Below are 25,894 nucleotides of genomic sequence, written 5' to 3' on the forward strand. Positions count from 1 at the left end.
GTAGCTGGGACTGCAGGCATGCACCACCACACCCAGCTAATTTTTTGTATTTTTAGTAGAGACGGGGTTTCACTAAGTTGGCCAGGCTGGTCTCGAACTCCTGACCTCAGGTGATCTGCCTGCCTTGGCCTCCCAAAGTGCTGGGATTACAGGCGCCTGGCCCTTAAAGTGGGGAGGATTTTAATTCTCACTAAACTAGGCTGGGTTTTAAGATTTGAGGCCAGGCGTCTTGGCTCACGCCTGTAATCCCCACCACTTTGGGAGGCCAAGGCAGGAGGATTGCTTGGGGCCAGGAGTTTGAGACCAACCTGGGCAACACAGTGAGACCCTATCTCTACAAAAAACAAAAAAGAATTGAGTGCAAATTGAAGTGATAATGTTATTTCTATGGCATCGTTTTCTGATGTTGATTAGAACCAGAGATGGAGTCTCATTGTTGCTTAGGCTGGTCTTGAGCCCCTGAGCCCAAGAGATCCTCTTGCCTCTGGAGTAACTGGGACTATGAGTGTGTGTAATCATGTCCAACCTCTGCCATAAATATTTCTAACAAACTTGATTATATTAGCTTTCTAGTCTATGGTATCTTAAAATTTAGAGGTGTGAGATGAATTGGTGCAGACAGGAGAATTAGATATAAAAGCCGGTGAGTATGGGTGATAAAACCTAAAAAGCCATAGGAACTGGAGCATGCAACTCACACCTTTTAGTAGCTACTGATGACAAAGCTATAAAAAGATCACAATAATTGGGCTGGGTGCTGTGGCTTGCACCGATAATCCCAGTAACCTACGATGCCGCCATTGCATTCCAGCCTGGGTTACAGAGTAAGAGCCTGTCTCTTAAAAAAAAAAAAAAAGTATGTATGTATATATATATATATATAATGGTGTTAATTTATGATCATTTTAAGTCACTAAGGTGCATTTTTCCAGTGCACTAGCTTCAAAGACACACTCAGGTGTTTTTCATCAATATTTGCAGTAAAATTTTCACATAAGAATATTGGATTAAGAAGGAAAACTGATATCTGGTGTTTGAAGAGGGAATTCTTAGGCCATCTAAAAGCTGATAGGAGAGTTAGACTCATTTAACTAAAGGTACTTTTGTTGAGTGCTATGTGCTGACTATGTAGTAGACCAAAGACCAGTAAGAATTTGGTTTTGCCCACTAGGAAATCAGGATAAAATAGAGGAGACTTTTGTAAATATATAATGACAATAAAATGTAATAAATGCTAATGCTGGAGGGATTGTGCAAGGTAGAATGAAGGTTCAAAAGACTATATGTACCTTATGAAGATACTGGTGGTAGATTGGAGAATAGATCCAGGGAATTATGTTCAGACTAGTTTCAAGATTATTGTATAATAATCACCGTACAAGAAAGGAGGGCCTGAACTAGGACCTTGCTGTGGATAGAAAATAAGAGGATAGGGATTTTCTTTGAACAGTTTGAAACTTTGAACAGTTTCTGTTTGTTGGTAAGATTGAAGCATTGAAGATTTTTCCAGAAAACTTAACTAAAATGCAGGGGTATGTTACTATTTGAGACAGGTATTCGCCATCGATAAAAGTTTTCTTTTTTGGAAAGCTGACTTTGGTAAGGTAGAAAAATTTTAAATGTTGACTATGCGGTTGGGTAGGAGGTATTACATATTGTGATTGACTGCAAATTGAAACTTTTGCCTTAACTTTATCCTGCCAAGAATACAAGAGCAGTAGGCTTTAATTAATGAACTAATGTATTTTGAAGAGTCCATTATCAAGCTTTGATTTTCACTCCGCTTTGTTCCGGAAGTCAAGAAACTATGGCATTTTTTTGAGGCCAGGCGCGGTGGCTCGAGCCTGTAATCCCAGCACTTTGGGAGGCTAAGGTGGGCGGATCACGAGGTCAGGAGTTCAAGACTAGCCTGGCCAAGATGGCAAAACCCCATCTCTACTAAAACTATGAAAATTAGCCAGGCGTGGTGGTGCATACCTGTAATTCCAGCTACTTGGGAGGCTGAGGCAGAGAATTGCTTGAACTCGGGAGGTGGATGTTGCAGTGAGCTGAGAACACACCACCGCACTCCAGCCTGGGCAACAGAGCGAGACTCCTTCTCAAAAAAAAAAAAAAAAAAAAAATCCGGGCACGGTGGCTCACACCTGTAATCCCAGCACTTTGGGAGGCCGAGGCGGGCGGATCACCTGAGTTCAGGAGTTTGAGACCAGCCTGACCAACATGGAGAAACCCCGTCTCTACTAAAAATACAAAACTAGCTGGGCATGGTGGCCCATGCCTGTAATCCCAGCTACTCGGGAGGCTGAGGCAGGAGAATTGCTTGAACCCGTGAGGGGGAGGTTGCAGTGAGCCGAGATCGTGCCATTGTACTCCAGCCTGGGCAACTCGAGTGAAACTCTGTCTCAATAAAAAACAAAAAACAAACAAACAAAAAAACTATGGCATTTTTTTAAAAGTTCATAAGAGCTAGGTTTAATGCCAACTGTCCTGGGATGCTCCAGGCTGTCTCCCAGTTCTTAAGCAGCAGCATCCTGACAATAGAGTAATTTTCCTTCTTCCCCAATTCATCTTTACAAAGCATCTCACTGACTTTTGACCAACAGAGCAAATAAATTGTTGCATTTTTTTTTCTGAGTCGGCTTGCTACAGAATTTGTTGCTTTCTTAAGGTATCTTTATTTGTGAAATTTGCAAAGGCCAATTAAAGCAATCAACAAGGAGGATAGATCAAAAAAGAATTTTGGAAGTGTTTTGGATATTATGTAAATCTTAAGTGAAGCCTGGAACTAGGAATCTGGAGGCAACTGCCTCATTCAGTATTTTTGAAGGTATTTGTATAACTGTAAAAAGCATCACTGAAACTGAGAGACACTGCAGAGTAAGTGAATCTAGAAATTTCTCTTGCAAACTGATAATATTGCTAGACATTTCTCGGAAGCTCAGCAAAGTAGATTTTTATAAAAATGGAAGAATAAGACGTCATTGCAACTGTCCCTCTCCCAACATTTAGCATTCAAAAACTTTTGAGAGGCATTCATCTGAACATTACTGAACTTTTTTTTTCCTTTGTGGCAGATGACCCTAATTTTCAGTGCAAATTCAAAGGTCTCTGGAGTAAGGAAAAATATCTATGTATGCCCTAGGAAGATTCACCAGGAAAAGATGGCATGTTGTGTCCAAACTTCATTAAACTAAGAGTCAAAGAAACTTCGGCCAGTCCAGCCCATGAAGAAAAATACCTCAAAGGAACATTTACATCACAGTTCACATTGTTTAGTTTTATATGGTTAATAAACATTTTGAAGAGCATATACTTGTTCTGATTTTTGACATAGTTGTGGCATGAAATAGGTTTCCAGGCCTGGAATTCCAATTTATGCTTACTAATTCATTATGCCAATGGGAAATACAGGGTTTTTTTGCTTGATTTTGTTTTTTTGTTTTTGAGACGGGGTCTTGATCTGTTGCCCAGGCTCCAGTGCAGTGGCGCAATCTTGGCTCACCACAACCTCCACCTGCTGGGTTCAAGCAATTCTCCTGCCTCAGCCTCCCAAGTAGCTGGGACTACAGGCACCCGCCACCATGCCCGGCTGATTTTTGTATTTTTAGTAGAGACAAGGTTTCACTATGTTGGCCAGGCTTGTCTGGAACTCCTGACCTTGTGATCTGCCCACCTCAGCCTCCCAAAGTGCTGGGATTACAGGTGTGAGCCACCGCACCCAGCTTGGAAATATAGGTTTGGTATACAATTCAATTTAGGATGATTATCCAGGAGAGGAGGAACTTTTTTGCAGGTGAGAGTATGAAGGCTCAAGGGAGTAAAATAATTTAGGAAATCAATTTAGTAGGTAGCAGAGTCAGAATTCCAACTCAGATCTCATAGCAAAGAATCATGCTTTTTCTAGACATATGAAGGTTGAAGACAAATACTAATTAAAGAGGCGATCTCCAATCTTTTGGGCACCAGGGACCGGTTTTGTGGAAGGTAATTTTTTCACTGGGGTTGGGGTGTTGCAGGGGAATGGTTTCAAGGTGATTCAAGCACATTACATTTATTGTGCACTTTATTTCTATTATTATTACATTATAATATGTAATGAAATAATTATACAACTCACCATAATGTAAGTCAGTGGGAGCCCTGACCTTGTTTTCCTGCAACTAGATGGTCCTGTCTTGGGGTGATGAGAGACAGTGACACATCATCACGGATTAGGTTTTTACAAGAAGCATGCAACCTAGAGCCCTCGCTTGTGCAGTTCACAGTAGAGTTCGTGCTCCTAGGAGAATCTAATGCCACGGCTGATCTGATGGGAGGTGGAGCTCAGGTGATAATGCAAGCAATCGGGAGCAGCTGTAAATACAGATGAAGCTTCTCTGGCTTGCCCGCTGCTCACCTCCCGCTGTGCGGCCCGGTTCCTAACAGGGCACGAACTGGTACCATGGGGGTTTTGCCATTAATTCAGGGGTTGAGAACCCCTGAGTTAAAAGACAGTGTTCAGGCAGCAAAGGAGAGTAAGAAGGTGCAGGCTGAGAATTAGGAAAACTGGATGGAATCTGACAGAGAATAAGAGAATTTTGAAGGAGAAATTGATTAACTGTGACTAATACAGAAAAGATTGAACAATGACTCAAAGCTCTGTGAAGGTATCTAGAGTTCATTAGAAGATATTTGGTGAGCGGTGTCAGTACAGGGGAAACAGCCAGATTACAATGGGTTGAGATGTAAATGGGAGATGAGGAAATAGAGATAGCAAGCACAGATCATTTGCAAGAAGCATGGCTGAAAGAGAAGGGGAAGGGAGGAGAGAGCTATAATTAGAGGGGAATCTTCTTTGGGTTTTGCTGGGGTGTTTTGTTTTGTTTTGTTTTGCTGAGATAGGGTCTCACTTTGTAGCCCAGACTGGAGTACAGTGGCCCAATTTTGGCTCACCACAGGCTCGACCTCCCAGGCTCAAATGATCTTCCTGCCTCAGTCTTTCAAGTAGCTGGCGACACAAGTGTGCACTACCACTCCTGGCTAATTTGTGTATTTTTGGTAGAGCCAGGGTTTTGCCATGTTGCCCAGGCTGGTCTCAAACTCCTGGGCTCAAGTGATCTGCCCGACTAGGCCTCCCAAAGTGCTAGGATTACAGGTGCGAGCCACTGCACCTGGCCTGGGTTTTGCTGATTTTGGTATTATTTATCATCTACGTGCTAAGTGTTTTACATACATAATGACATTTAATCCTCATAAGAACTCTGTGACAAAATCCCCATTTTTCAAATGGTTTTTAAGAGAGGTAAAATGTTTCCCCAATTACAAAGCTACAGCATCAGGATACGAAGCTACAGCATCAGGATTCAAACCTAAAGTGTTTGGCTGAACCACTAGCCAAATTTGTAGCAAGTTCTCTGAGTTTGGAGCGGAGGAAGAATAAGTGTGAATGAGACAAGTTTTGGGAAGTGCAGGAAATGGGGAGGGGAATTCCAGTTTAATGCTCTCTCCTCTGAAGTTGGAATTGTGTCCCAGGAACTGAAAGTGCCTCAGGGGACTGAGGACAGAGGCACATGTATAGAAGGAATGCCTCCTCACTCTGCTGCTGCTGCCTTCTTTCCTTCTGGATGAAGTGGCTAAAAGTCTTCAGAGGGCCAGGAGCGGTGGCTCACGCCTGTAATCCCAGCACTTTGGGAGGCCGAGATGGGTGGATCATTTGAGGTCAGGAGTTCAAGGCCAGCCTGGCCAACATGGTGAAATCCCGCCTCTACTAAAAATACAAAAATTAGCCAGGTGTGGTGGCAGGTGCTGTAATTCCAGCTACTTGGGAGGCTGAGACAGAAGAATCACCTGAACCTGGGAGCTGTAGGTTTCGGTGAGCTGAGAATATGCCACTGCACTCCAGCCTGGGTGAGTCTTTAGAGTATACTATATAGATATTTAAAGCAGCGTTTCAAGAAGTTTTTATGATTAGAGAAATTTATGTGTTATAATAAAGTAAGAAAAAAAACAGCAAACAAAATTGTACACATGGGATTGTTGTTAAAGCATTAAAAGAATGAAGGCCAACAACAGCTGTCATTTACGTGACTGGTGGGATTACTGAAGCTTTCCCACTCTTTTTTCCTTTTAAAAAATATTTGAGGCCGGGGCCGGGCGCCGTGGCTTACGCCTGTAATCCCAGCACTCTGGGAGGCCAAGGTGAGCGGATCACCTGAGGTCGGGAGTTTGAGACCAGCCTGACCAACATGGAGAAACCCCCGTCTCTACTCAAAATACAAAATTAGCTGGGCATGGTGGTGCATGCCTGTAATCCCAGCTACTGTGGAGACTGAGGCAGGAGAATCGCTTGAACCCTGGAGGTGGAGGTTGCAGTGAGCTGAGATGATGCCATTGCACTCCAGCCTGGACAATAAGAGCGAAACTCCATCTCAAAAAAAAACTCGAGCTCAAGAGTTCAAGACTAGCTTGGGCAACATAGTGAAACCCCCATCTCTACTAAAAATACAAAAATTAGCCAGGCGTGATGGCATGCACCTGTAGTCTCAGCTACTTGGGAGGCTGAGGTTGGGAGGATCACCTGAGCCCAGGAGGCGGCAGTTGCAGTGAGCCAAGATCTGCACTCCAGCCTGGATGTCAGAGCAATACCCTGTCTCTCACACACACAGACACAAACAAACAAACAAACAAAAAGTTATTAACATATGCAGTCAATAGAAATTGAGCAAGTCACCTGGCTTGCAAAGATTTGTCCAATAATCATCCTCTACTGCCCCCACAAATTTCTAATAATGGGCACCACTCCCTTGAATACAGGGGCACCTATATGATCTGGGCTGGACCAAATGGAGTTTCTCCTGGAACCTTGCAGATGCTCCCGTTGCTGGCAAAGATAAGGAGGCCAAGCTGCATAGCAAAAGCTGATTTGCAGGTGAAGTGAATGAACCAACACAGAAGCAGAATTGAGAAATGAGGAGGGCAAGATCTGAGAACATCGGAGTCCCTGAAGCCAATCTTGGTTGGGTTCTATGAGCCTATACATATTCCTCTTTTGGCTTAAGCTATTTTAAGGTGAGTCAGTTGCTTGAAATGAAAAGAGCTTGCCTAATGCAACATATTTTTCTAAACTTGTAGCCATGAGTTAAATCATCTAGATACTGTATTGTTGCCAGAAAAATGGGTCTTGATCCAGACCCCAAGAGAGGGTTCTTAGATCTTGTGTAGGAAGGAATTCAAAGTGAGTTCACAGAGTGCAGTGAGAAGAGATAGTTTATTGAAAGCTACTGTCGGCTGGGAGCGGTGGCTCATGCCTGTGATCCCAGCACTTTGGGAGGCTGAGGCAGGTGGATCATCTGAGGTCAGAAGTTCGAGACCAGCCTGACCAATATGGTGAAACCCTGTTTCTACTAAAAAATACAAAAATTAGCCGGGCGTGGTGGCATGCGCCTATAGTCCCAGCTACTTGGGAGGCTGAGACAGGAGAATTGGTTGAACCCAGGAGGCAGAGGTTGAAGTGAGCTGAGATTGTGCCACTGTACTCCAGCCTGGTGACAGAGCGAGCCTCCATCTCAAAAGAAAAAGAAAGCTACTGTTACAGACTAGAACATCCTCAGAAGGCAAGAGGAGGAACACCTCATCTTTAAGTTTTTCTTATATAGAGGTCTTGTCTACATAAAAGCTAGGCTAAGATGTGTCTACATGAGAGTAGGTTGCAGCATCACAAAATTTATTATTCTGTTGATTTAAAGAAAGCTGTCCTTGACATTCTAGTGTGTAAGTACCTCAAAGTATAACTATAATTATATTTTGGGTTTTTTTTTTTTTTTTTTTTTTTGGGGGACAGGGTCTCATTCTCTCACCCAGCCTGGGAATGCAGTGGCACAATCTCAGCTCGCTGCAACCTTCACCTCCTGGGCTCAAGTGATCCTCCCACCTCAGCCTCCTGAGTAGCTGGGACCACAGGTGCACACCACCATGCCTGGCTAATTTTTGTTTACTTTCGTAGATGGGGTCTCGCTATGTTGCCCAGGCTAGTCTCAAACTCTTGGGCTCAAGGAATGCTCCCGCCTTGGCCTCCCAAAATGCTGGGATTACAGGCATGAGCCACTGCATCTGGCCATTATAATTATCTTGAAAGCATATATTGTTATGGGTATTGAGACATCTGGACTTCTAGTTGTTGTAGGAGTATGTCGTTGCAGGTATCTTTAAGCTGTTTCCTCAACTGTAAACAGCTTGTGATCATGGGTCGTGAGTGGCAAGGAATGTGCCTTGGCTAGTTTTAAGATGGAGTTTAGGCCAGGCACGGTGGCTCACGCCTGTAATCCCAGCATTTTGGAAGGCCAAGGTGGGTGGATCACCTGAGGTCAGGGGTTCAAGACCAGACTGGCCAACATGGTGAAACCTCATTGCTACTAAAACTACAAAAATTAGCCAGGCATGGTGGCATATGCCTGTAATCCCAGCTACTCAGGAGGCAGGAGAATCGCTTGAACCCGGGAGGCAGAGGTTACAGTGAGCTGAGATCGTGCCACTGCACTCCAGATTGTGCCACTGTACTCTGGGTGACAGAGTGAGACTCTGTCTCAATTAAAAAAAAAAAAAAAGATGGAATTGATTTTAAAATGATGTCACTCTGATTCTCCTTCCCTAACAGCATGACTGAGGATTGCAAAGATCTGAGGGTCTCCAGGTTCATTCCTTGGTTGAGGTTTCTGCTGTGTCAAGAATGGCATGTGATAGCAGCAGACCCCGCAGCGTCTCTTCCTGGCCTGCCTCACTTTCCTCGTTATATGTACTTATAGCATTAATTTTCTAGTGGCTTACTTGGTGCAAAGCACCAGGCACAGCAGTTCCAGAAAGAATTTTACTGCTAGACCTTGACTTCCATTGAACAGGATTAGACATCCCATAGTTCCACTAACAATTAAAGAGACCTATGCAGCCAGGTGATTTGGACAATAAAATGTGCAGTTTTTTTTCCTGTTTGTCACACACTATTGCTACGAGTATCGAACAACCCATTCTTGGGGAGTGAAAATGGAGATAAAAGCTCATGAGGCAGGCCAGGCACGGTGGCTCATGCCTGTAATCCCAGCACTTCGGGAGGCCAAGGTGGGCGGATCACGAGGTCAGGAGTTCGAGACCAGCCTGACCAATGTGGTGAAACCCCATCTCTACTAAAAATGCAAAAATTAGCTGGGCATGATGGTGCATGCCTGTAATCCCAGCTACTCAGGAGGCAAAGGCAGGAGAATCACTTGAACCGAGGAGGTGGAGGTTGCAGTGAGCCGAGATCACACCACTGCACTCCAGCCTGGGTGACAAAGTGAGACTCCATCTAAAAAAAAAACCCATAAGGAGTCTTAAATTTGTATTTGAAATTGGGAAAAAGTTGTATTTCAAGGCTCCTCAGTCTTTATTATTATTATTATTATTTGGAGATAGGGCCTCACTCTGTCACTCAGACTGGAGTGCAGTGGCACAATCACGGCTCACTGTAGCCTCGAACTCCTAGGCTCAAGCTATCCTCCTGCCTCAGCCTCCAGAGTAGCTAGGACTACAGGCATGCACCACTATGTCTAGCTAATTTTAAAATTTTTTGTAGAGATGGGGTCTTGCTGTGTTGCCCCGGCTGGCCTCACACTCCTAGGCTCAAACAATCCTCCTGCCTCGGCCTCCCAAAGTGCTGGGATTACAGGCATGAGCCACCACACGCAGCCTTAAGCTTCCTCGTTAAAAGATGGAGCAAAATACTGAAGCTGGGGAAGACAGAGGACCTGGCTCCACCACATGCTTCCCAATTAGATTCCTGGCTTCGACACTGAAGGGACCAGAGCATACAGGGAAATGGCACTTACGTTTACTTTGCTGATTCAATTTTTTGGTTCATTTTTTTCAATCAACATTTTTTTAAAATTTTTATTTTTATTTTTTGAGACAGAGTCTCACTCTGTTGCCCAGGCTAGAGTGCAGTGGCACGATCTCGGCTCACTGCAACCTCCACCTCCCGGGTTCAAGCCATCTTCACACCTCATCCTCCCAACTAGCTGGGACTACAGGCTTCTGTCACCATGCTTAGCTAATTTTTGTTTGTTTGTAGAAACGGGATTGTTGTCTAGGCTGGTCTCAAAGTCCTGAGCTCAAGCCATCTGCCCACCTTGGCCTCCCAAAGTGCTGGGATTGCAGGTGTGAGCCACCATGTGCAGCAACATTTACTTTAAGGACTTGCACTGTGCTAGTCCTTGCACCCTCATGTCTCCTGCGCCATCCTCCTGCTCCCAGTGTTCTGGTGCTGTCTCCTCTGTGCCCAGGCCTCTGTGCCTGAGACTTGGGCAATGTCAACCCCAGGTCCCCTTCTTTCTCCTGGTACCTGAATGCTGAGCAGTTACTAGCTAGTGCTAGACACAGATACAAATACAAACAAGATAATCCTTCTTCCTTCTCCATTGTACACAGTGTAGTGGAGGTATTAGGCAGAAACAACTAACCATATACAATAAAATAATGTCCTTTTGTGGCAAGCATAGGTCACTATGGGGACCAAATGGTAAGCAATGAATCCACGGGATAAAGAGCTGGGTATTGCTGTTCGCAGGAGAGGCGACACCTCATCTAGGGCTTGAAAGATGGATAAGAGTTTGCTAAGTGGATGAGGCAGAAGGGTTTCCTAGGTAGCGGGATCCATCATCATGAACAAGGCCCAGAGGAATGCAGCTGTGCAGGTTATTAGGGTGGCAAGAGCATAGTGTGTTTCACTGCCAGTGAAGCCAGTTTCACTGCCAGATTCATGTTTTCCATTGCTGGGTTTCAATTCTGCAATAAGCAAACTTCTGAAAAATATGAATTTCTGTTTATTCTTGTTCAGACCAAAGCTGAAAATATTGATGAATGAGCAAATGAAAGGAATGTATATAAGAGAGCTTAGGCTTTTTCCATCAAGGAATGAGTCACAACAACCCTGGGAAGAAAAGAAGAGAAGGACTTGTGTCACCATTGCAATGCTGTCCTCTTCGGAGCCCCATCTTCTTCTGGCAAGGGCCCAGAGCAGCTGCTCTTGCTGCAACACCAGCTCTGCCGTCTGCTCCTTCAGCAGGCTTGATCTAGGCACTGTCCCTCATGTCCCCTGCACCATCCCCCTGTCTCCAGTGTTCCTGGTGCTGCCTCCTCTGTGCCCAGGCCCTTGTGCCTGAGTCTTGAGCATTACCACCCACAGGTCCCCTTGGGTCCCTTCCTATCTCTTGGTTCCCGAATGCTGAGTGGCCCCAGCAGAGACAGAGCTGGAGGCTGGTGGTGGAGGGCAGAGCTGTACTTCGGAGCTGAGCATTTCTTCCCCTTTGGCAGAGCAGCTGCTTCTCTATCTTTCTTACTCTTTGGTGTCCAGACAGCACCAGGAAGAATCTAGCTCCCTCCCCGACAGGAAGTAGTATGCATATTTCCTGCTGAGCCCCAAGAGTGTTGCTGGTGTGAGGTTGACTGGAGGACTTTCCCACAGGCTGGGTTTGCGGTTTAATGTGAAAGCTGAAACTAGAGGAGGAGATGCTAACCAAAGTGGCCAGAAGGTGAATAAGAGCTCAAACCTTAGGGAGCAGCAAGGGCCAGTGCAGATGTCAAATTCAATTGCAAGCCAGAGGCAGAAGGCTTGGATCCCGGCTTGCACCTGGAGTGAGTGGGAAGGGCCTGGGACAATCACTGCCCACTCTCAGCTGCCCACTTGTCAGTTGCATGCAGTTGGTCTGTCACACAGGCTCATGCATGACCACATACACACACGCACACACACACACACACACACACACATTGGCTCACACATCTAGGGGGGCAGAAAATACCCTCACCCGGGGAGGGACCCAGACCCACGTGGGGAGTCTGCAACACAAATGCCCCTTCCCCTCACCTATTCTTCTGCACTAGGTTTTTTTGTTTGTTTGCTTGTTTTTTGGTTTTTGGTTTTTTTTTTTTTTTTTTGAGACAGGGTTCTACTCTGGTCACCCAGGCTGGAGTGCAGTGGTGCGGTCCTGACTCACTGCAACCTCTGCCTCCTGGGTTCAAGCGATTCTCCTGCCTCAGCCTCCTGAATAGCTGGGATTACCGGAGTTACTGTGCCCGGCTAATTTTAGTATTTTTGTAGAGATGAGGTTTTGCCATAGTGGCCAGGCTGATCTTGAACTCCTGGGCTCAAGAGATCCGCCTGCCTTGGCCTCCCAAAGTGCTGGGATTACAGGCGTGAGCCACCACTCCCGGCTGCACCAGATCTTAGAAGGAAACCCTTCCTCAACCTCCAGTCTTCTTACGGAGCACGTGCAGATTTACATCTGTAGATGTTTCCCTTCCAGAAGACTTCAAGGCTCTCCCTTTGGGCATAATAAGAAAAGAGATCAACTCAGAGGGAGCAAACACAGAGGGAGGGTTTGGGTAGACACTTTTGCAAGCAGCCTGGGAGAGGGGCTGAGGCCTTGGAAGCCAGGAGACAGAGGACAGCCCAGGGGCCTGAGGGACTGACAGAGCAAGGAGAGAGGTCTCAGCCATGTTCTTACGTGTTTTGGCACATGACCTCATTATCATGGGCAACGTACTAAGGCTATTTGACTGTGTTGTGGGAAAGAATTGAAAAACACTTAGCGGCTGGGCATGATGGCTCACCCCTGTAATCCCAGCACTTTGGGAGGCCAAGGCAGGGAGATGGCTTGAGTGTAGGAGTTTGAGACCAGCCTGGGAAACATGGCGAAACCCCATTTCTACTAAAAATACAGAAATTAGCTGGATGTGGTGGCGTATTCCTGCAATCCCAGCTACTCGGAAGGCTGAGGCAGGAGTATCGCTTGAATCCAGGAGGTGAAGGTTGCAGTGAGCCAACATCGTGCCACTGCACTCCAGCCTGGGTGATAGAGTGAGATTCTGTCTCAAGAAAAAAAGAAAAAAAAAATTACTTAGCAATGATGTAGTAATCCCCACTAGGGTGGCTGCCCATATTCTAATTCTAATATTCTAATTGCAGTCCAAATTCTAATATTCTTTTTCTTTTCTTTTCTTTTCTTTTTTTTTTTATTTTGAGACAGAGTTTCGCTCTTGTTGCCCTGGAGGGCAGTGGCGCGATCTTAGCTCACTGCAACCTCCGTCTCCCGGGTTCAAGCGAATCTCCTGCCTCAGCTTCCTGAGTAGCTGGGATTATAGGCGCCTGCCACCACGACCAGCTAATTTTTTGTATTTTTTAGTAGAGACGGGTTTTCACTATGTTGGCCAGGCTGGTCTTGAACTCCTGACCTCAGACGATCCACCCGCCTCGGCCTCCTAAAGTGCTGAGATTACAGGCGTGAGCCACCGTGCCCGGCCCCAAATTCTAATATTCTTACACATCCTTCTACCCTGGAAATTGTCCTTGTTACATAGGGTGAGTGCCCAATGACCAGGTCTGTACTATATGACCCTGTCCCCATGGCATATAGCTAATTGGTCCAGTGGCAGACTTGAATCAAGAGGTCTCATCAGATCTCTTCACAGCCCAACCACCAATAGTTTGGGGGTCTCCCTCTGAGCCAAGCCAGGCCAAAGTCCCTTCGCAGAGCAGAGTGAGAATAGACCAGTCCCTCTCTGCCAGTGGCAGGTGGGATGTGAATGAGGCCAGGGAGCTAATGGCACCCAGTCACACTGAGGAGTTCAGGCAATGGTGGGGAAAGCTGAAGGCAGCATGCAGAGGAAACCAGAGAACTGAATCCTTGGTTCCATTCGTATCTGACCAAGGCCCCAAATCAGAGTTTCCCTTGTATTCTTCTGGTTTAGTTGCTACTTGAAACACTCAATTATCCTTCCAACCAGCTTCAACCCCCGCTTTTCCTTCTTGAAGTAGTTGGTTAGGTTTTTGTTTCTTGCACCACACACCAAGAAAACAGATGACAAACTGAGTAGGTTAAATTAATGTTATCCAAAACTTTGTTCATCCTGAGACCTCAGATTACCTTGCATCCCTCAATCACAGTGGCACCCAGGAGGCACTGTGTCAATAGGGACTGCTTTTCCCCTAGCCAGTTTTGGAAGCTCCATTACCAGAGCTGGTGTCTCACTTTCTAGAAAATTCTCAGTCCATTTACATAAGACCTGGAACTGCCTGGTAAGAGCCCACAGTTCAAAAGGTGATATAAGACCCTCCTGGAGTGTCTTCAGAGGACACGCTGGGTCTCATATCTGTTTTCAGCTTTACACATGACTCAGCCTCTCTTTTTTTTTTCTTTTTTTTTTTTTTTGTGGTTCAGATGGAGTCTGGCTCTGTCACCCAGGCTGGAGTTTAGTGGCGCGATCTTAGCTCACTGCAACCTCCGCCTCCCAGGTTCAAGTGATTCTCGTGCCTCAGCCTGCGGAGTAGCTGGGATTACAGGCACCTGCCACCACACCTGGCTAATTCTTTAATTTTATTTATTTATTTATTTATTTATTTTTGAGACAGAGTCTCGCTCTGTCACCCAGGCTGGAGTGCAGTGGTACGATCTCAGCTCACTGCAACTTCTGCCTGCCAGGTTCAAGCGATTCTCCTGCCTTAGCCTCCTGAGTAGCTGGGATTACAGGCGCCCACCACCACGCCCAGCTAGTTTTTGTATTTTTAGTAGAGACGGGGTTTCACCATGTTGTCCAGGCTGGTCTGGAACTCCTGACCTCATGTGATTTACCTGCCTTGGCCTCCCAAAGTGCTGGGATTACAGGTGTGAGCCACTGCACCTGGCCAGCCTCTTCTTATAGTATGCTTAATATCTGCATGAAAGCAAAATACATTTCTAAACATGCAAACAAATACACTGCACCCACTTACAAGACAATTGCTGTCTACTCCATGATTCGTGTCTATGGCCAATACAAGGTGGGCCAATGGCCAAGGCACAGCATGTCCTCCTGAAATCATCTGTGGGAGGAGAATTCACAGTTGAGCCACTCAGGACTTGAAGGAGAAAATAAGATTATAAATATTTTTATATTCATCAACTTGCTGAATAAAAGAGATATTTGGGACATTTTAATACATCTTAAATTAGTAATGATGAGTACTATTCAAATTTCCTTTTCTGTCTGGAGGGAGGTGACATCTGTTGGTCTTTTTTTGTCTTTTTTTTTTTTTTTTTTTTTTTTTTTGAGATTGAGTCTTGCTCTCACCCAGGCTGGAGTGCAGTGGCACAATCTCAGCTCACTGCAACCTCCACCTCCCGGGTTCAAGCGATTCTCCTGCCTCAGCCTCCCGAGTAGCTGGGATTATGGGTGCATGTCGCCCAGCTAATTTTTGTATTTTTAGTAGAGACGGGGTTTCAACCTTGTTGGCTAGGCTGGTCTTGAACTCCTGACCTCAAGTGATCCACCCGCCTCAGCCTCCCAAAGTGCTGGCGTTATAGGCATGAGCCACTGTGCCCGGCCATACAGTCTGTCATGTCCCACAGAGTTTAGGGTAGAGAATAGAAAGTTCAATTTGGGAAATGCTGAAATTAAGGCCCCTGCAGGGCATGCTAGTGGCAATACCCAATGAGCAATCAAGGCCCCAAATTTAGGTTTGGACATCATTGGTATTTGCGTGGTTGTTGAAACCCTGGGTATGAGTGAGATAATCCAAGAATTTGTAAAATGAAAGGAGAAGTAAACCAAGACAGAGCTCTGGGAAAAGCAACATTTATGGGGCTAATGGGAAGAAAAGGAATTAGTGAAGAAAAAGGAGAAAGCGCATTTGAGGAGTTAGAAGAAAATGATGGGTGACCGGCAATTTAATGGCCGCAGGAGAAGAGGATTTCAAGAATGAAGAAGTGGTCAACATAGAGAAGAGGACTAAAAAGATAAGGACTTAGAGGACTAAGAAGATAAGGGGTCCCTGGAGTTTAGCAACAAGGAAGTCCCTGGCAACATTAGTGGCTTCAGTGGTGTAATAGAGAGAGAACCCAGATGTCAAGGGGTTGAAGACCCTGGCGCCAGTCTACAGGGGAATGGAGCTTTCCCTACACTGCTCAGCACTACGTGATGTCAAGAAGATGGAAGGCCTTTTCACAAGATGGCACCGAAAGCGAAGAAGGAAGCTCCTGCCCCTCCTAAAGCTGAAGCCAAAGCGAAGGCTTTAAAGGCCAAGAAGGCAGTGTTGAACGGTGTCCACAGCCACAAAAAAAAGATCCACACGTCACCCACCTTCCGGCGGCCCAAGACACTGCGACTCCGGAGACAGCCCGAATATCCTCGGAAGAGCACTCCCAGGAAAAACAAGCTTGACCACTATGCTATCATCAAGTTTCCGCTGACCACTGAGTCTGCCATGAAGAAGATAGAAGACAACAACACACTTGTGTTCATTGTGGTTGTTAAAGCCAACAAGCACCAGATTAAACAGGCTGTGAAGTAGCTCTATGACATTGATGTGGCCAAGGTCAACACCCTGATTCGGCCTGATGGAGAGAAGAAGGCATATGTTCGACTGGCTCCTGATTACGATGCTTTGGATGTTGTCAACAAAATTGGGATCATCTAAACTGAGTCCAGATGCCTAATTCTAAATATACATATATATATCTTTTCACCATAAAAAAAAAAAAGAAGATGGAAGTTTAAGGGGACACAGATGTAATGAGATAAGGAAGGGGGAGCTGTAAGAACAGGTGCCTATGTTTGGATAATCGGATTTTGTCAGAGTATTACTTTTAGGTGATGACAAGGCTCAGAGTGTGACCAAGGGGATGCGTGGCCTGAGCAGTAAGAAGGGCTAAGGTCATTGGAGACAAGGGGGTTAGAGACTTTAAGATTAAGATATAGAAGGTGTTATCCGCAGGGACACTAAATCACCCAGGATGATGGCAGTATTTCTCCTGGGAAGTCTGTGAGTCAGGGGCCAAAGTCCTCAGTGAATGTAGGGGAAGTGCCGAGGAAAGGAGCCCAAAAACAGTGGTGATGTGAAAGAGGCAGTGAGGACGGGGCATGTGGACCACCTTCCTCCTTGTCACATGGTAGGGAGGCTATCTTGATGAAGTTAGCAAGGACTCATGCCATGTCCTCAGCCAGGTTTCAGTTAAAGCAGAAAGTGGAGGGAGCTCCCATCTGTAAATGAACCAAGGTTCCAGGTGATACAGGCTCAGGACGCTGTAGTAATAGCCGGAAACACAGAGGGCAGCATCATCCCGAGAGTGTAGGAGAGGCCCACTGTCGGATTCACTTGCATTTTGGGAGTCAGCCTAGGATGACAGGAAGAGTTGGGGGCATCATGGGGCTGATTGAAGAGGCACTAAAAGAGACCAGGATTGACTTGGCTTCCACGCTGTGCAGACCAAGGCCCTAGGCTATGCCTATAGCTTGGTATGCACCAAGTTCCCAACAGAAATTTGGTGAGCCTCTGCAGGGCCTGGCCCTGGTGAGGAGAGGGATAACTAGACCTAAGTCAGAATAGAAGTAGACAGTGGTCTCCTGGACCCCCTGGGTGGATATGTCTTTGTCATGGACTCTGTAGTCGGTCTCCCATCCATTCACACACTGTTCTCTATGGAGGAGCTCTTTAGGTAGGACTGGCTTCACTTCCAGCCTCAGGGGCGTGTCCTAAATCAGTTAGAAAAATCCCATCCCCGGGCCCAGTGTTTGGGTCAGGGAATGGCCCAAGCCAGCTCTACCCTCCTCTGTGTGTTGACTTTTCTCTGGTCACAGGGGTTGCTTTGGAGTGAATCTATGACAAACATTGACCCAAACAGATTGAAGCCCAGTAATTTGAAGTGAGATTGAAGTCTAGTGCAAAGATGTAAAATCTTTAAAAACTGCAGCCATTTCTACCCCTATAAGGAGAAACAACTTGTCTGAGTCCATTCTTTTTTTTTTTTTTTTTTTGAGGCGGAGTTTTGCTCTTGTTGCCCAGGCTGGAGTGCAGTGCTGCAATCTAGGCTCATCGCAACATTTGCCTCCCAGGTTGAAGCGATTCTCCTGCCTCAGCCTCCAGAGTAGCTGGGATTACATGCATGCACCACCACGCCCGGCTTATTTTGTATTTTTAGTAGAGATGGGTTTTCTCCATGTTGGTCAGGCTGTTCCCGAACTCCTGACCTCAGGTGATCTGCCCGCCTTGGCCTCCCAAAGTGCTGGGATTACAGGCGTGAGCCACTGTGCCCGGCCGCCTGGCTAATTTTTTTTATTATTATTAATTTGTAGTTTTTGTAAGCAAGATACAGGGTCTTGCTTGGTTTCTCAGGCTGATCTCGATCTCCTAGGATTAAGTGATCCTCCCACCTCAGACTCCCAAATGTTCTTTATTATCGACACCAGTTTGAACTGGATTTTCTGTTACCATGCCTTACCTGAGAGCATCCCAGCTGAGAGAAACAAACCTTAGACATCCCTTTGCCCCATTAGCTCCCACCCATCTTCCGGGACCAAGGTATGTATGGGGGCTGGGCATGTGTAGATTCTGGAGTTCTCAGCCCTCAGTGGACTGTGATTCTGAAGGCAGCTGGATGTAAACTGTGAGTCGGGGAGGGGGTCAGCTTTCTCTGTCAGAGACTATTTGACCCCCAGCCCCTATCTTGGTGACTCAGACATTTAGTTGTATTTTGTAGAATCTTTTGCATGACCACACCTGACTTTCTTAGTAATCTCCCTAAATTAGTTTTCTGTTAATAAGAATGTTTCTTGTCTCTGATCCATACCACGTGGTTATTATGTGCTTTTCCTTCCCACTCTTATTCATTCAGTGAATATTTATCAAGCGTCTACCAGGTGGCAGGCACCATTCTGGGCACTGGGGATACATCAGTGAACAAAATAGACAACAATCCATGCCCTTGGGGCTTATAGGATTACATTCTAATAGGGAGATATAGACAATAAACAAAATAAACAAGTAAAAAATATATAACTTTAAACAGTGATAAAATGGGCCAGGCATGGTGGCTCACTCCTGTAATCTTAGTGCTTTAGGAGGCTGAGGTGTAGGATTGCTTGAGGATCAGAGTTTGAGACCATCTTGGGGAACATAGTGAGAGCCCTGTCTCTACAAAAAATAAAAATAAAAAATTAGCCAGGCATGGTGGCACATGCCTGTGGCCCTGGGAGGATGGGGCAGGAGGACTGCATGAGCCCAAGAGTTCAAGGCTGTGGTGAGCTATGATCACGCCACAGTACTCCAGCCTGGGTGGTAGAGCAAGACCCTGTCTTGAAAAAGGCAATAAAATGCTAAAGTGGAAAATTCAAATCAGGGAGTTTTTGTGTGTGTTTATTTTAGATAGGTTGTATAGGGAAGGCCTCACTCAGAAAGTTGCTTTGGCTTTTGTGTAAAGACCTCAACAAACTGAGACGTGGACCACGGATGACTATGGAGGGGAAGATCACTCTCAGTAGAGGGAACAAGTCCAAGGGCCTTGAGGTGGGCACATGTCTGGTGTGTTTGAGGAACGGCAAGGAGGCCAATTCGACCCAGAGGGGTGATGGAAGGGTAGAGTAGGAGGTCACAGAGGTGATGAAGCTGGTCACATGGGGCCTTGTGACTTGCTGTTAGTTGGCTGGGTGTGGTGGCTCACACCTGTAAACCCAGCACTTTGGGAGGCTGAAGCCGGTGGATCACTTGAGGCCAGGAGTTCGAGACCAGCATTGGCAACATGGTGAAATCCTGTCTCTACTGAAAATACAAAAATTAGCCAGGTGTGGTGGCGCATGCCTGTAATCCCAGCTACTTGGGAGGCTGAGGCAGGAAAATTGCTTGAACCCTGGAGGCAGATGTTGCAGTGGGCCGAGACGGTACCACTGTACCCCAGCCTGAGTGACAGAGTGGGACTCTCTCTCAAAGAAAAAAAAAAAAAAAAAAGAATTGCCTTGCAATTAGTTGTTAGAGAAACTACATTGTGTGTGTGGGGGAGGGGATGGCAGATGGAAAATAAATGGTCAGTTTTGGGCATTTAATTTTTTTTTGAGACAGGGTCTTGCTCTGTTGCCCCGGCTGGCATGCAGGGGTGTAATCATGGCTCACTGCAGCCTCAACCTCCCTGGCTGAAGTGATCCTCCTGCCTTATCCTCCTTAGTAGCTAGAACTTACAGGCATGTCCCAACACGCCTGGCTAATTAAAAATTTTTTTTTGTAGAGACAGGGTGTTGCTGTGTTGCCCAGACTGGTCTTTAACTCCTAAACTCAAGGGATCTGCTCGCCTCTGCCTCCCACAGTGATGAGATTACAGGTGTGGGCCATGGTGCCCAGCTGGGACATTTAAATTTGCAGTGCCTATCAGACATCTAAGTGGAGAGGTCAAGAAGACAGGTGCATATCTGAGTCTGGAGTTCAGGGTTGAGGTTCAGGTTAGGGATTTATTTGAGGCTCACTAGAAAAGTGATGGTAATTAAAACTACAAAACTGGCTGGGTGCAGTGGCTCACGCTTGTAATCCCAGCACCTTGGGAGGCTGAGGCGGGTGGATCACTTGAGGTCAGGAGTTTGAGACCAGCCTGGCCAACATGGTGAAACCCTGCCTCTACTAAAAATACAAAAATTAGCCGGGCATGGTGGCAGGTGCCAGTAATCCTAGCTACTTGGGAGGCTGAATCGCTTGAACCCGGGAGGTGGAGGTTGCAGTGAGCTGAGATCGCGCCATTGCATTCCAGGCTGGGCGACAGAGCAAGACTCTGTCTCAGAAAAAAAAAAAAACAAAAAACAAAAAACAAAAAAACTACAAAACTGGATAATCCCACTCAAGACTTTTTGCCTTTATTGTGATGACCGTTTTTCTGAGCTGTGACAGTACTTTAATTCACATGTTTAGATATTATTTAGAAAAGGACTGAGCATGCTGCAAATGAAGACATAACATTTCATGTCTGGCAGACTCTAGCTTTGAGAAGAGGATGGGGTGAAGCAAACTTTTGGCAATGTCACCTTCCACTGAGGTTAAGTTTTTGTTTAGTTAAGATAAGAAACAGGTATTTGACTATATTGCTTCTGCTTAATACATTTCTTGTGGGTCTTAATATGTATATAAAGTAAGTTAATTTAAACATTTCTTCCGTGTTACTGTGTGCATGGTTAAAAGGCAATCAGTTGATGTTCTACTACAGTATGATCTTGCCTCAAGGTCACTATATTTTCTGTTCCCTTTGCCTGGATCACTCTTCCCACAGGTGTGAATGAGGTTTGCTCCCTCACTTCATTCGTGTTGCTCTGTTCAAATGTCATCTTATCAGGGAGGCTTACCCTGACTAACCAAGCTGATGCAATTAGCACGTCCCATTGCTCATGGTTCTATTTTTCTTCCTACCGCTACCACCACCTTGCATCATGTATATTTGTTTCTTTGTTGTCTCTTCCCTCCATTATAGTGAGATCTTACAGTAGTATTTAATCTGCAATAGGAACTCCCTAATAGCTGTTTGTTGAATAAATGAAGATCACTATATTGCTATTCAAAAGAGTTGTATGGGCCGGGCGCGGTGGCTCACACCTGTAATCCCAGCACTTTGGGAGGCCAAGGTGGGTGGATCACATGGCGAAACCCTGTCTCTACTGAAAACATAAAAATTAGCTGGGTGTGATGTCACGCGCCTGTAGTCCCAGCTACTTGGGAGGCTAAGGCAGGAGAATTGCTTGAACCTGGGAGGCGGAGGTTGCAGTGAGCCGAGATTGCGCCACTGCATTCCAGCCTGGGCAACAGAGCAGTGGAGTTTGAGACCAGCCTGATAAATATGGTAAAACCCCATCTCTACTAAAAATACAAAAATTAGCAAGGTGTGGTGACATGTGCCTATAGTCCCAGCTACTCAGGAGGCTGAGACAGGAGAATCACTTGAACCTGGGAGGCAGAGGTTGCAGTGAGGCAACACTGCACTCTAGCCTGTGCAACAGAGCAAGACTCCGTCTCAAAAAAACCAGATAGAGTTGTATGAAGCAATGGTGACTATTATTTTACCATGCTGCTAACATTATGCATTATTTTTTTTCTGTTTTTCTATTATATTTTTTTCTATTTATTTTTACAGAAACAGCGTCTCACTATTGCCCAGGTTGGAGTGCACTGGTGTGATCATAGCTCACTGTAACTCTCAGGCTTAAAGGGATCCTCCCACCTCAGCCTCCCAAGTAGCTAAGACTACTAGAGCACAGCACCATGCTGGACTAATTTTTAAATTTTTTGTAGTGACAGGGTCTCACTCTGTTGCCCAGGCTGGTCTCCAACTCCTGGCCTCAAGGGAACCTCCTGCCTTGGCCCCCAGTGAACTGATATTACAGGCATGAGCCACTGCATCCAGCCTGCATTATAATTTTAAAACATTTTTGCTACTTTAGTAGATGTAAGGTGTTATGTCATAACTGTTTTAAGTTTAAAGTTTCTGATTATCAATGAACGTTTTCCCCATGCACTTGGGTATGACTTTTATTTCTTATTGTGAATTACAGTGCATGTTTACCTTCTTTGTCTATTTAGCAATTGGTACCTTGATTGTTTTTATATATATAAACAAGCTTTTTTTGGGTGGGGGGGATGGAATCTTGCTCTGTCACCCAGGCTGGAGTTCAGTGGTGCGATCTCGGCTCACTGCAACCTCCGCCTCCCGGGTTCAAGCGATTCTCCTGCCTCAGCCACCCAAGTAACTGGGACTACAGGCGTGTGCCACCACACCCAACTAATTTTTGTATTTTTAGTAGAGACGGGGCTTTCACCATGTTGGCCAGGCTGGTCTCGAACTCCTGACCTCAGTTGATCCACCCGCCTTGGCCTCCTAAAGTGCTGGGATTACAGGCGTGAGCCACTGCACCTGGCCTATAAACAAGCTTTTATACATTTCAGGTAGTATTTGCTTGTCACTTGGTGCAGACATTTTTCTCAATCTGTTGTCTTTTTAAAATTCTGTCCAGTTTTTGTATTTTTGAACGTTAGTCTTCCTTTGTTGTTTCTTCTGTTGTTTCAAAGTTTTGAGAACGCTGACGTTTATCCATAAATATAACTGCCTTATCCTATTAAATATATAGTTTCTATGGCTGTTCTTTAAAATATTTAGCACTTTAATCCACTTGGTGTTTATTTTGAAATACGATGTGAAACACATTTTTGTCCTCCAAATTTTCATTCATTTATCTGCGCATTCTTTACATAGTTCATCTTTTCTTACTGCCGTGTTTGGGAATGTTATTTTACTATGTATCCCATCAGGATTAATGCGTGTGTTTGTTCAGTCTCATTCCTTTCCGTTGATCTCAGCTTCTATTTTTGTTTCTGCTCTTAGTCACTGCCCAGCAGCGCCAAAGGAACATCCCGCCCCCTGCAGGCAGCTGGTGTCCCCACAACCTGGGAAGCCTGGGGCAGGGCCTCAGGGGACTCCTGGTGTTAGTCCTCCGAGCCCGGGTGGACGTGTCGCTCTGTCCCTGCGGGAGGATTCGGGGCCCCTTTGACAGGCCTCCTTCTATGCCGGTTTCCTGGGGCCTCGAGCTTCCTGGGTTCCACGTCTCTAGTAACCAGTAGAGACGGGCCTTTACCCTGCCGTTGGGTGGGGACTGTCCCCTTCTGGGCTCTTCCTTTCGGGCCTTTCCACCTCTCCGACCCCAGGGCATTCGCCCCACCACGTTGCCGGCACAGTGCTGGCTCCGCGGCCCGCGGTTCTGGCAGTCAGCGCGGAATGCCATGGCACCGAGCCTCTGTGTCTAGATGAGTTCTGGGCGCTGATTTTCCAGGTCACTCGGAAGCTGCTCTCTGGGCCCGCCTGTTTCCCTTCCCTTTGCCTCCTTGTCCCGCTTCCCTCGCAGTATACCACTCACTGTACCCCTCCTAAAAAGGACCACTGCAGGAAGCGTTATTGAAGCAGACACGGTTCAAACACGAAAAACAAACTCTTCTTTATTCAACAGATGTGCACGAATCTATTGTGTGTTAGATACGGGTAAGTTTCTGATAAGTCGTGCACTGAGCCAGTCCGGGCTCCTAGAACCGCGTTTACGTGCCGAAGTCTCAATCAGATTAAGAGCGTCTGGGGAGAGCGGGGCGGGGATAGAAGGAGGTGTTGGGGCTAGGGGTAGGACTGTTCTGGAGGCGTGGGTAAGGGGGAGTGGGCTGTGCTGTGCGCCCCTCCCCTCGCTATCTCCCCATTCATCCGCAGACCCGGGGCCCCACGCGCCGCTCCTGGGCAGGGCCGTGCACCCGGAAGGCGCCGAGGCGCGCCCAGCAGAGGGAGCATGCGGGCAGGGCATTCCGCGGGTACCCGCGGAGCAGGACGGCCACCCACGCCGGGGCCCCTGGGGCTCCACCCAGGACGCACACCCGGAGAGACCCAATGACTGCGTTTCGCACCTGGGCGCAAGCTGGTTACTGGGCACGCGCTGACAACCCACATCTGGAAAACCCGGTCCTAACTGGAGAATAAAACTTAAATGCACGTGAACTCACCGGCAGCTGAACATTTCCGTGAGAAAACCCCTAAAAGCCGGCACCGGCTCCGGTGGGGCCACAGAGTCTCTGGAGCGAGGCTCTCTCCAATGCCTGGGCCCTGGGACCGAGCAACTGTCCCAGTAGAATCCCTTTCGGGCTTTGTTGCAGGGATAGGGGATTCTTTTTAACGTGTTCCTTGGCTTGCACAGGCATTTACTGGTCCTCTGGAGATCACATATAACAGGAAGTCTCTAAATTCAGTATTTCTTTTAAATGAAGTTGTATTTATTCATCACATTTCTATCAGTAGACTTGAAAAACAGCGTACACGTTTTATACATTGTATGTAGGACATTGTATTTATTCAGGTCCATCAGAGAGTCTTAATCTGGGGTATGGGGACAACTAGGAGTGGATAGGATTCAGGGAGCCCATGAAACTCCTGAGATTGTTTCATATTTTAGGGCAAATGTGCAATTTTTCTGGGAAGAAGTTCTGTCGTTTTTATGATTACCAGGGTTCATAACCTTAGTTTGGTTAAGAAATGCTGGTCTAAGGTCAATGCTCAGCAGGTTTATGGATTCAGAACTCATTGCACTAGCACTGAAGCCCCCTTGAGGGCCCGAAGCCCCCATTCTGGACCCCTGCAGGAGAATTTGGTTCTCCAGTGAAGGTCACTAGAGCCTGGACTTGATTTTCTCTCCCTACAGGAAGGCCCCCCAAAACTCCAAGGGGCACAGTTGTTTTCGTTTTAAGGCCATATTAGGTTCAAGTAGATTTACTTCTGCATTTCTCTGTCTTAAATAGAAATAACTCTCTGGTGGGTATTTTCCCCTGGGTTAGTCATGCAAATACTCTATGCTTCACTTACTACCCATTTCAACCTCTGGGACAGCCCTTCTGCACAGACCTGGCCCAGGACCCTTCTGCCAACCACACATGGGAGTCTCTGGGGAACTTGGGTGCTGACTTCACTGGGCTGGGATTTTCCTCAACCAGTGTGCCCAGGGAGTTAAAACGTGTTCCTTTTATGGAAAAAAAGAGTATAAGTTTTTTGTTTGTTTGTTTGTTTGTTTTTACTTGTGAGGAATAAAAGATTACAAAACTACCCATAATCCCCTTAATAGGCCTAACACAATAACCAATTTTGTTTTAAATCTCAGCTTTCCTATGTGTATGTATTTTGCATTGTTGTGATTATAGCAGTACTGTATGTAATTATATATTGAGTTGCTCTGTTTTGCAATTGATGGTACTACTTTTCCGTAACATACTATAAGCATTTTACTGTCTTTGTAATTAGTGTTTTTAATTACTGTATACTTTTCTTTTCTTTTCTTTTCTTTTTTTTTTTTTTGAGACGGTGTCTCACTCTGTTGCTCAGGCTGGAGTGCAGTGGCATGATCTCGGCTCACTGCAACTTCTGCCTCCCAGGTTCAAGCGATTCTCCTGCCTCAGCCCCCCAAGTTGCTGGGACTACAGGCATGTGCCACCACATCTGGCTAATTTTTGTATTTTAGTAGAGACGGGGTTTCACCATGTTGGCCAGGCTGGTCTCGAACTCCTGACCTCAGGTGATCTGCCCGCCTTGGCCTC

General features: G+C 46.2%; 1 pseudogene, besides 14 other annotated features; it reads left to right on the forward strand.

Annotated features, from left to right (window-relative positions):
- Positions 6,311–6,360: a silencer, noted in NCBI's record as "silent region_3132". NCBI's record gives its function as "represses an Ori minimal core promoter by ATAC-STARR-seq in GM12878 lymphoblastoid cells {active_cell/tissue: GM12878}" and the evidence as "EXISTENCE:reporter gene assay evidence [ECO:0000049][PMID:35858748]".
- Positions 6,521–6,590: a silencer, noted in NCBI's record as "silent region_3133". NCBI's record gives its function as "represses an Ori minimal core promoter by ATAC-STARR-seq in GM12878 lymphoblastoid cells {active_cell/tissue: GM12878}" and the evidence as "EXISTENCE:reporter gene assay evidence [ECO:0000049][PMID:35858748]".
- Positions 6,831–6,910: an enhancer, noted in NCBI's record as "active region_4410". NCBI's record gives its function as "activates an Ori minimal core promoter by ATAC-STARR-seq in GM12878 lymphoblastoid cells {active_cell/tissue: GM12878}" and the evidence as "EXISTENCE:reporter gene assay evidence [ECO:0000049][PMID:35858748]".
- Positions 7,021–7,080: an enhancer, noted in NCBI's record as "active region_4411". NCBI's record gives its function as "activates an Ori minimal core promoter by ATAC-STARR-seq in GM12878 lymphoblastoid cells {active_cell/tissue: GM12878}" and the evidence as "EXISTENCE:reporter gene assay evidence [ECO:0000049][PMID:35858748]".
- Positions 10,465–10,544: an enhancer, noted in NCBI's record as "active region_4412". NCBI's record gives its function as "activates an Ori minimal core promoter by ATAC-STARR-seq in GM12878 lymphoblastoid cells {active_cell/tissue: GM12878}" and the evidence as "EXISTENCE:reporter gene assay evidence [ECO:0000049][PMID:35858748]".
- Positions 10,592–11,145: an enhancer, noted in NCBI's record as "H3K27ac-H3K4me1 hESC enhancer chr11:9622289-9622842 (GRCh37/hg19 assembly coordinates)". NCBI's record gives its function as "activates a minimal SCP1, AML or CMV promoter by ChIP-STARR-seq in primed H9 embryonic stem cells {active_cell/tissue: H9 hESC(primed)}" and the evidence as "EXISTENCE:reporter gene assay evidence [ECO:0000049][PMID:30033119]".
- Positions 10,592–11,264: a biological region, named in NCBI's record as "H3K27ac-H3K4me1 hESC enhancer GRCh37_chr11:9622289-9622842".
- Positions 10,805–10,974: an enhancer, noted in NCBI's record as "active region_4413". NCBI's record gives its function as "activates an Ori minimal core promoter by ATAC-STARR-seq in GM12878 lymphoblastoid cells {active_cell/tissue: GM12878}" and the evidence as "EXISTENCE:reporter gene assay evidence [ECO:0000049][PMID:35858748]".
- Positions 11,035–11,264: an enhancer, noted in NCBI's record as "active region_4414". NCBI's record gives its function as "activates an Ori minimal core promoter by ATAC-STARR-seq in GM12878 lymphoblastoid cells {active_cell/tissue: GM12878}" and the evidence as "EXISTENCE:reporter gene assay evidence [ECO:0000049][PMID:35858748]".
- RPL23AP65 (ribosomal protein L23a pseudogene 65) lies at positions 15,973–16,512 on the forward strand (annotated as a pseudogene).
- Positions 20,000–20,527: an enhancer, noted in NCBI's record as "H3K27ac hESC enhancer chr11:9631697-9632224 (GRCh37/hg19 assembly coordinates)". NCBI's record gives its function as "activates a minimal SCP1, AML or CMV promoter by ChIP-STARR-seq in naive H9 embryonic stem cells {active_cell/tissue: H9 hESC(naive)}" and the evidence as "EXISTENCE:reporter gene assay evidence [ECO:0000049][PMID:30033119]".
- Positions 23,072–23,761: an enhancer, noted in NCBI's record as "active region_4415". NCBI's record gives its function as "activates an Ori minimal core promoter by ATAC-STARR-seq in GM12878 lymphoblastoid cells {active_cell/tissue: GM12878}" and the evidence as "EXISTENCE:reporter gene assay evidence [ECO:0000049][PMID:35858748]".
- Positions 23,862–24,241: a silencer, noted in NCBI's record as "silent region_3134". NCBI's record gives its function as "represses an Ori minimal core promoter by ATAC-STARR-seq in GM12878 lymphoblastoid cells {active_cell/tissue: GM12878}" and the evidence as "EXISTENCE:reporter gene assay evidence [ECO:0000049][PMID:35858748]".
- Positions 24,962–25,051: an enhancer, noted in NCBI's record as "active region_4416". NCBI's record gives its function as "activates an Ori minimal core promoter by ATAC-STARR-seq in GM12878 lymphoblastoid cells {active_cell/tissue: GM12878}" and the evidence as "EXISTENCE:reporter gene assay evidence [ECO:0000049][PMID:35858748]".
- Positions 25,322–25,471: an enhancer, noted in NCBI's record as "active region_4417". NCBI's record gives its function as "activates an Ori minimal core promoter by ATAC-STARR-seq in GM12878 lymphoblastoid cells {active_cell/tissue: GM12878}" and the evidence as "EXISTENCE:reporter gene assay evidence [ECO:0000049][PMID:35858748]".

This window comes from Homo sapiens, chromosome 11 (assembly GCF_000001405.40).
Source record: "Homo sapiens chromosome 11, GRCh38.p14 Primary Assembly".
NCBI lineage: Eukaryota > Metazoa > Chordata > Mammalia > Primates > Hominidae > Homo > Homo sapiens.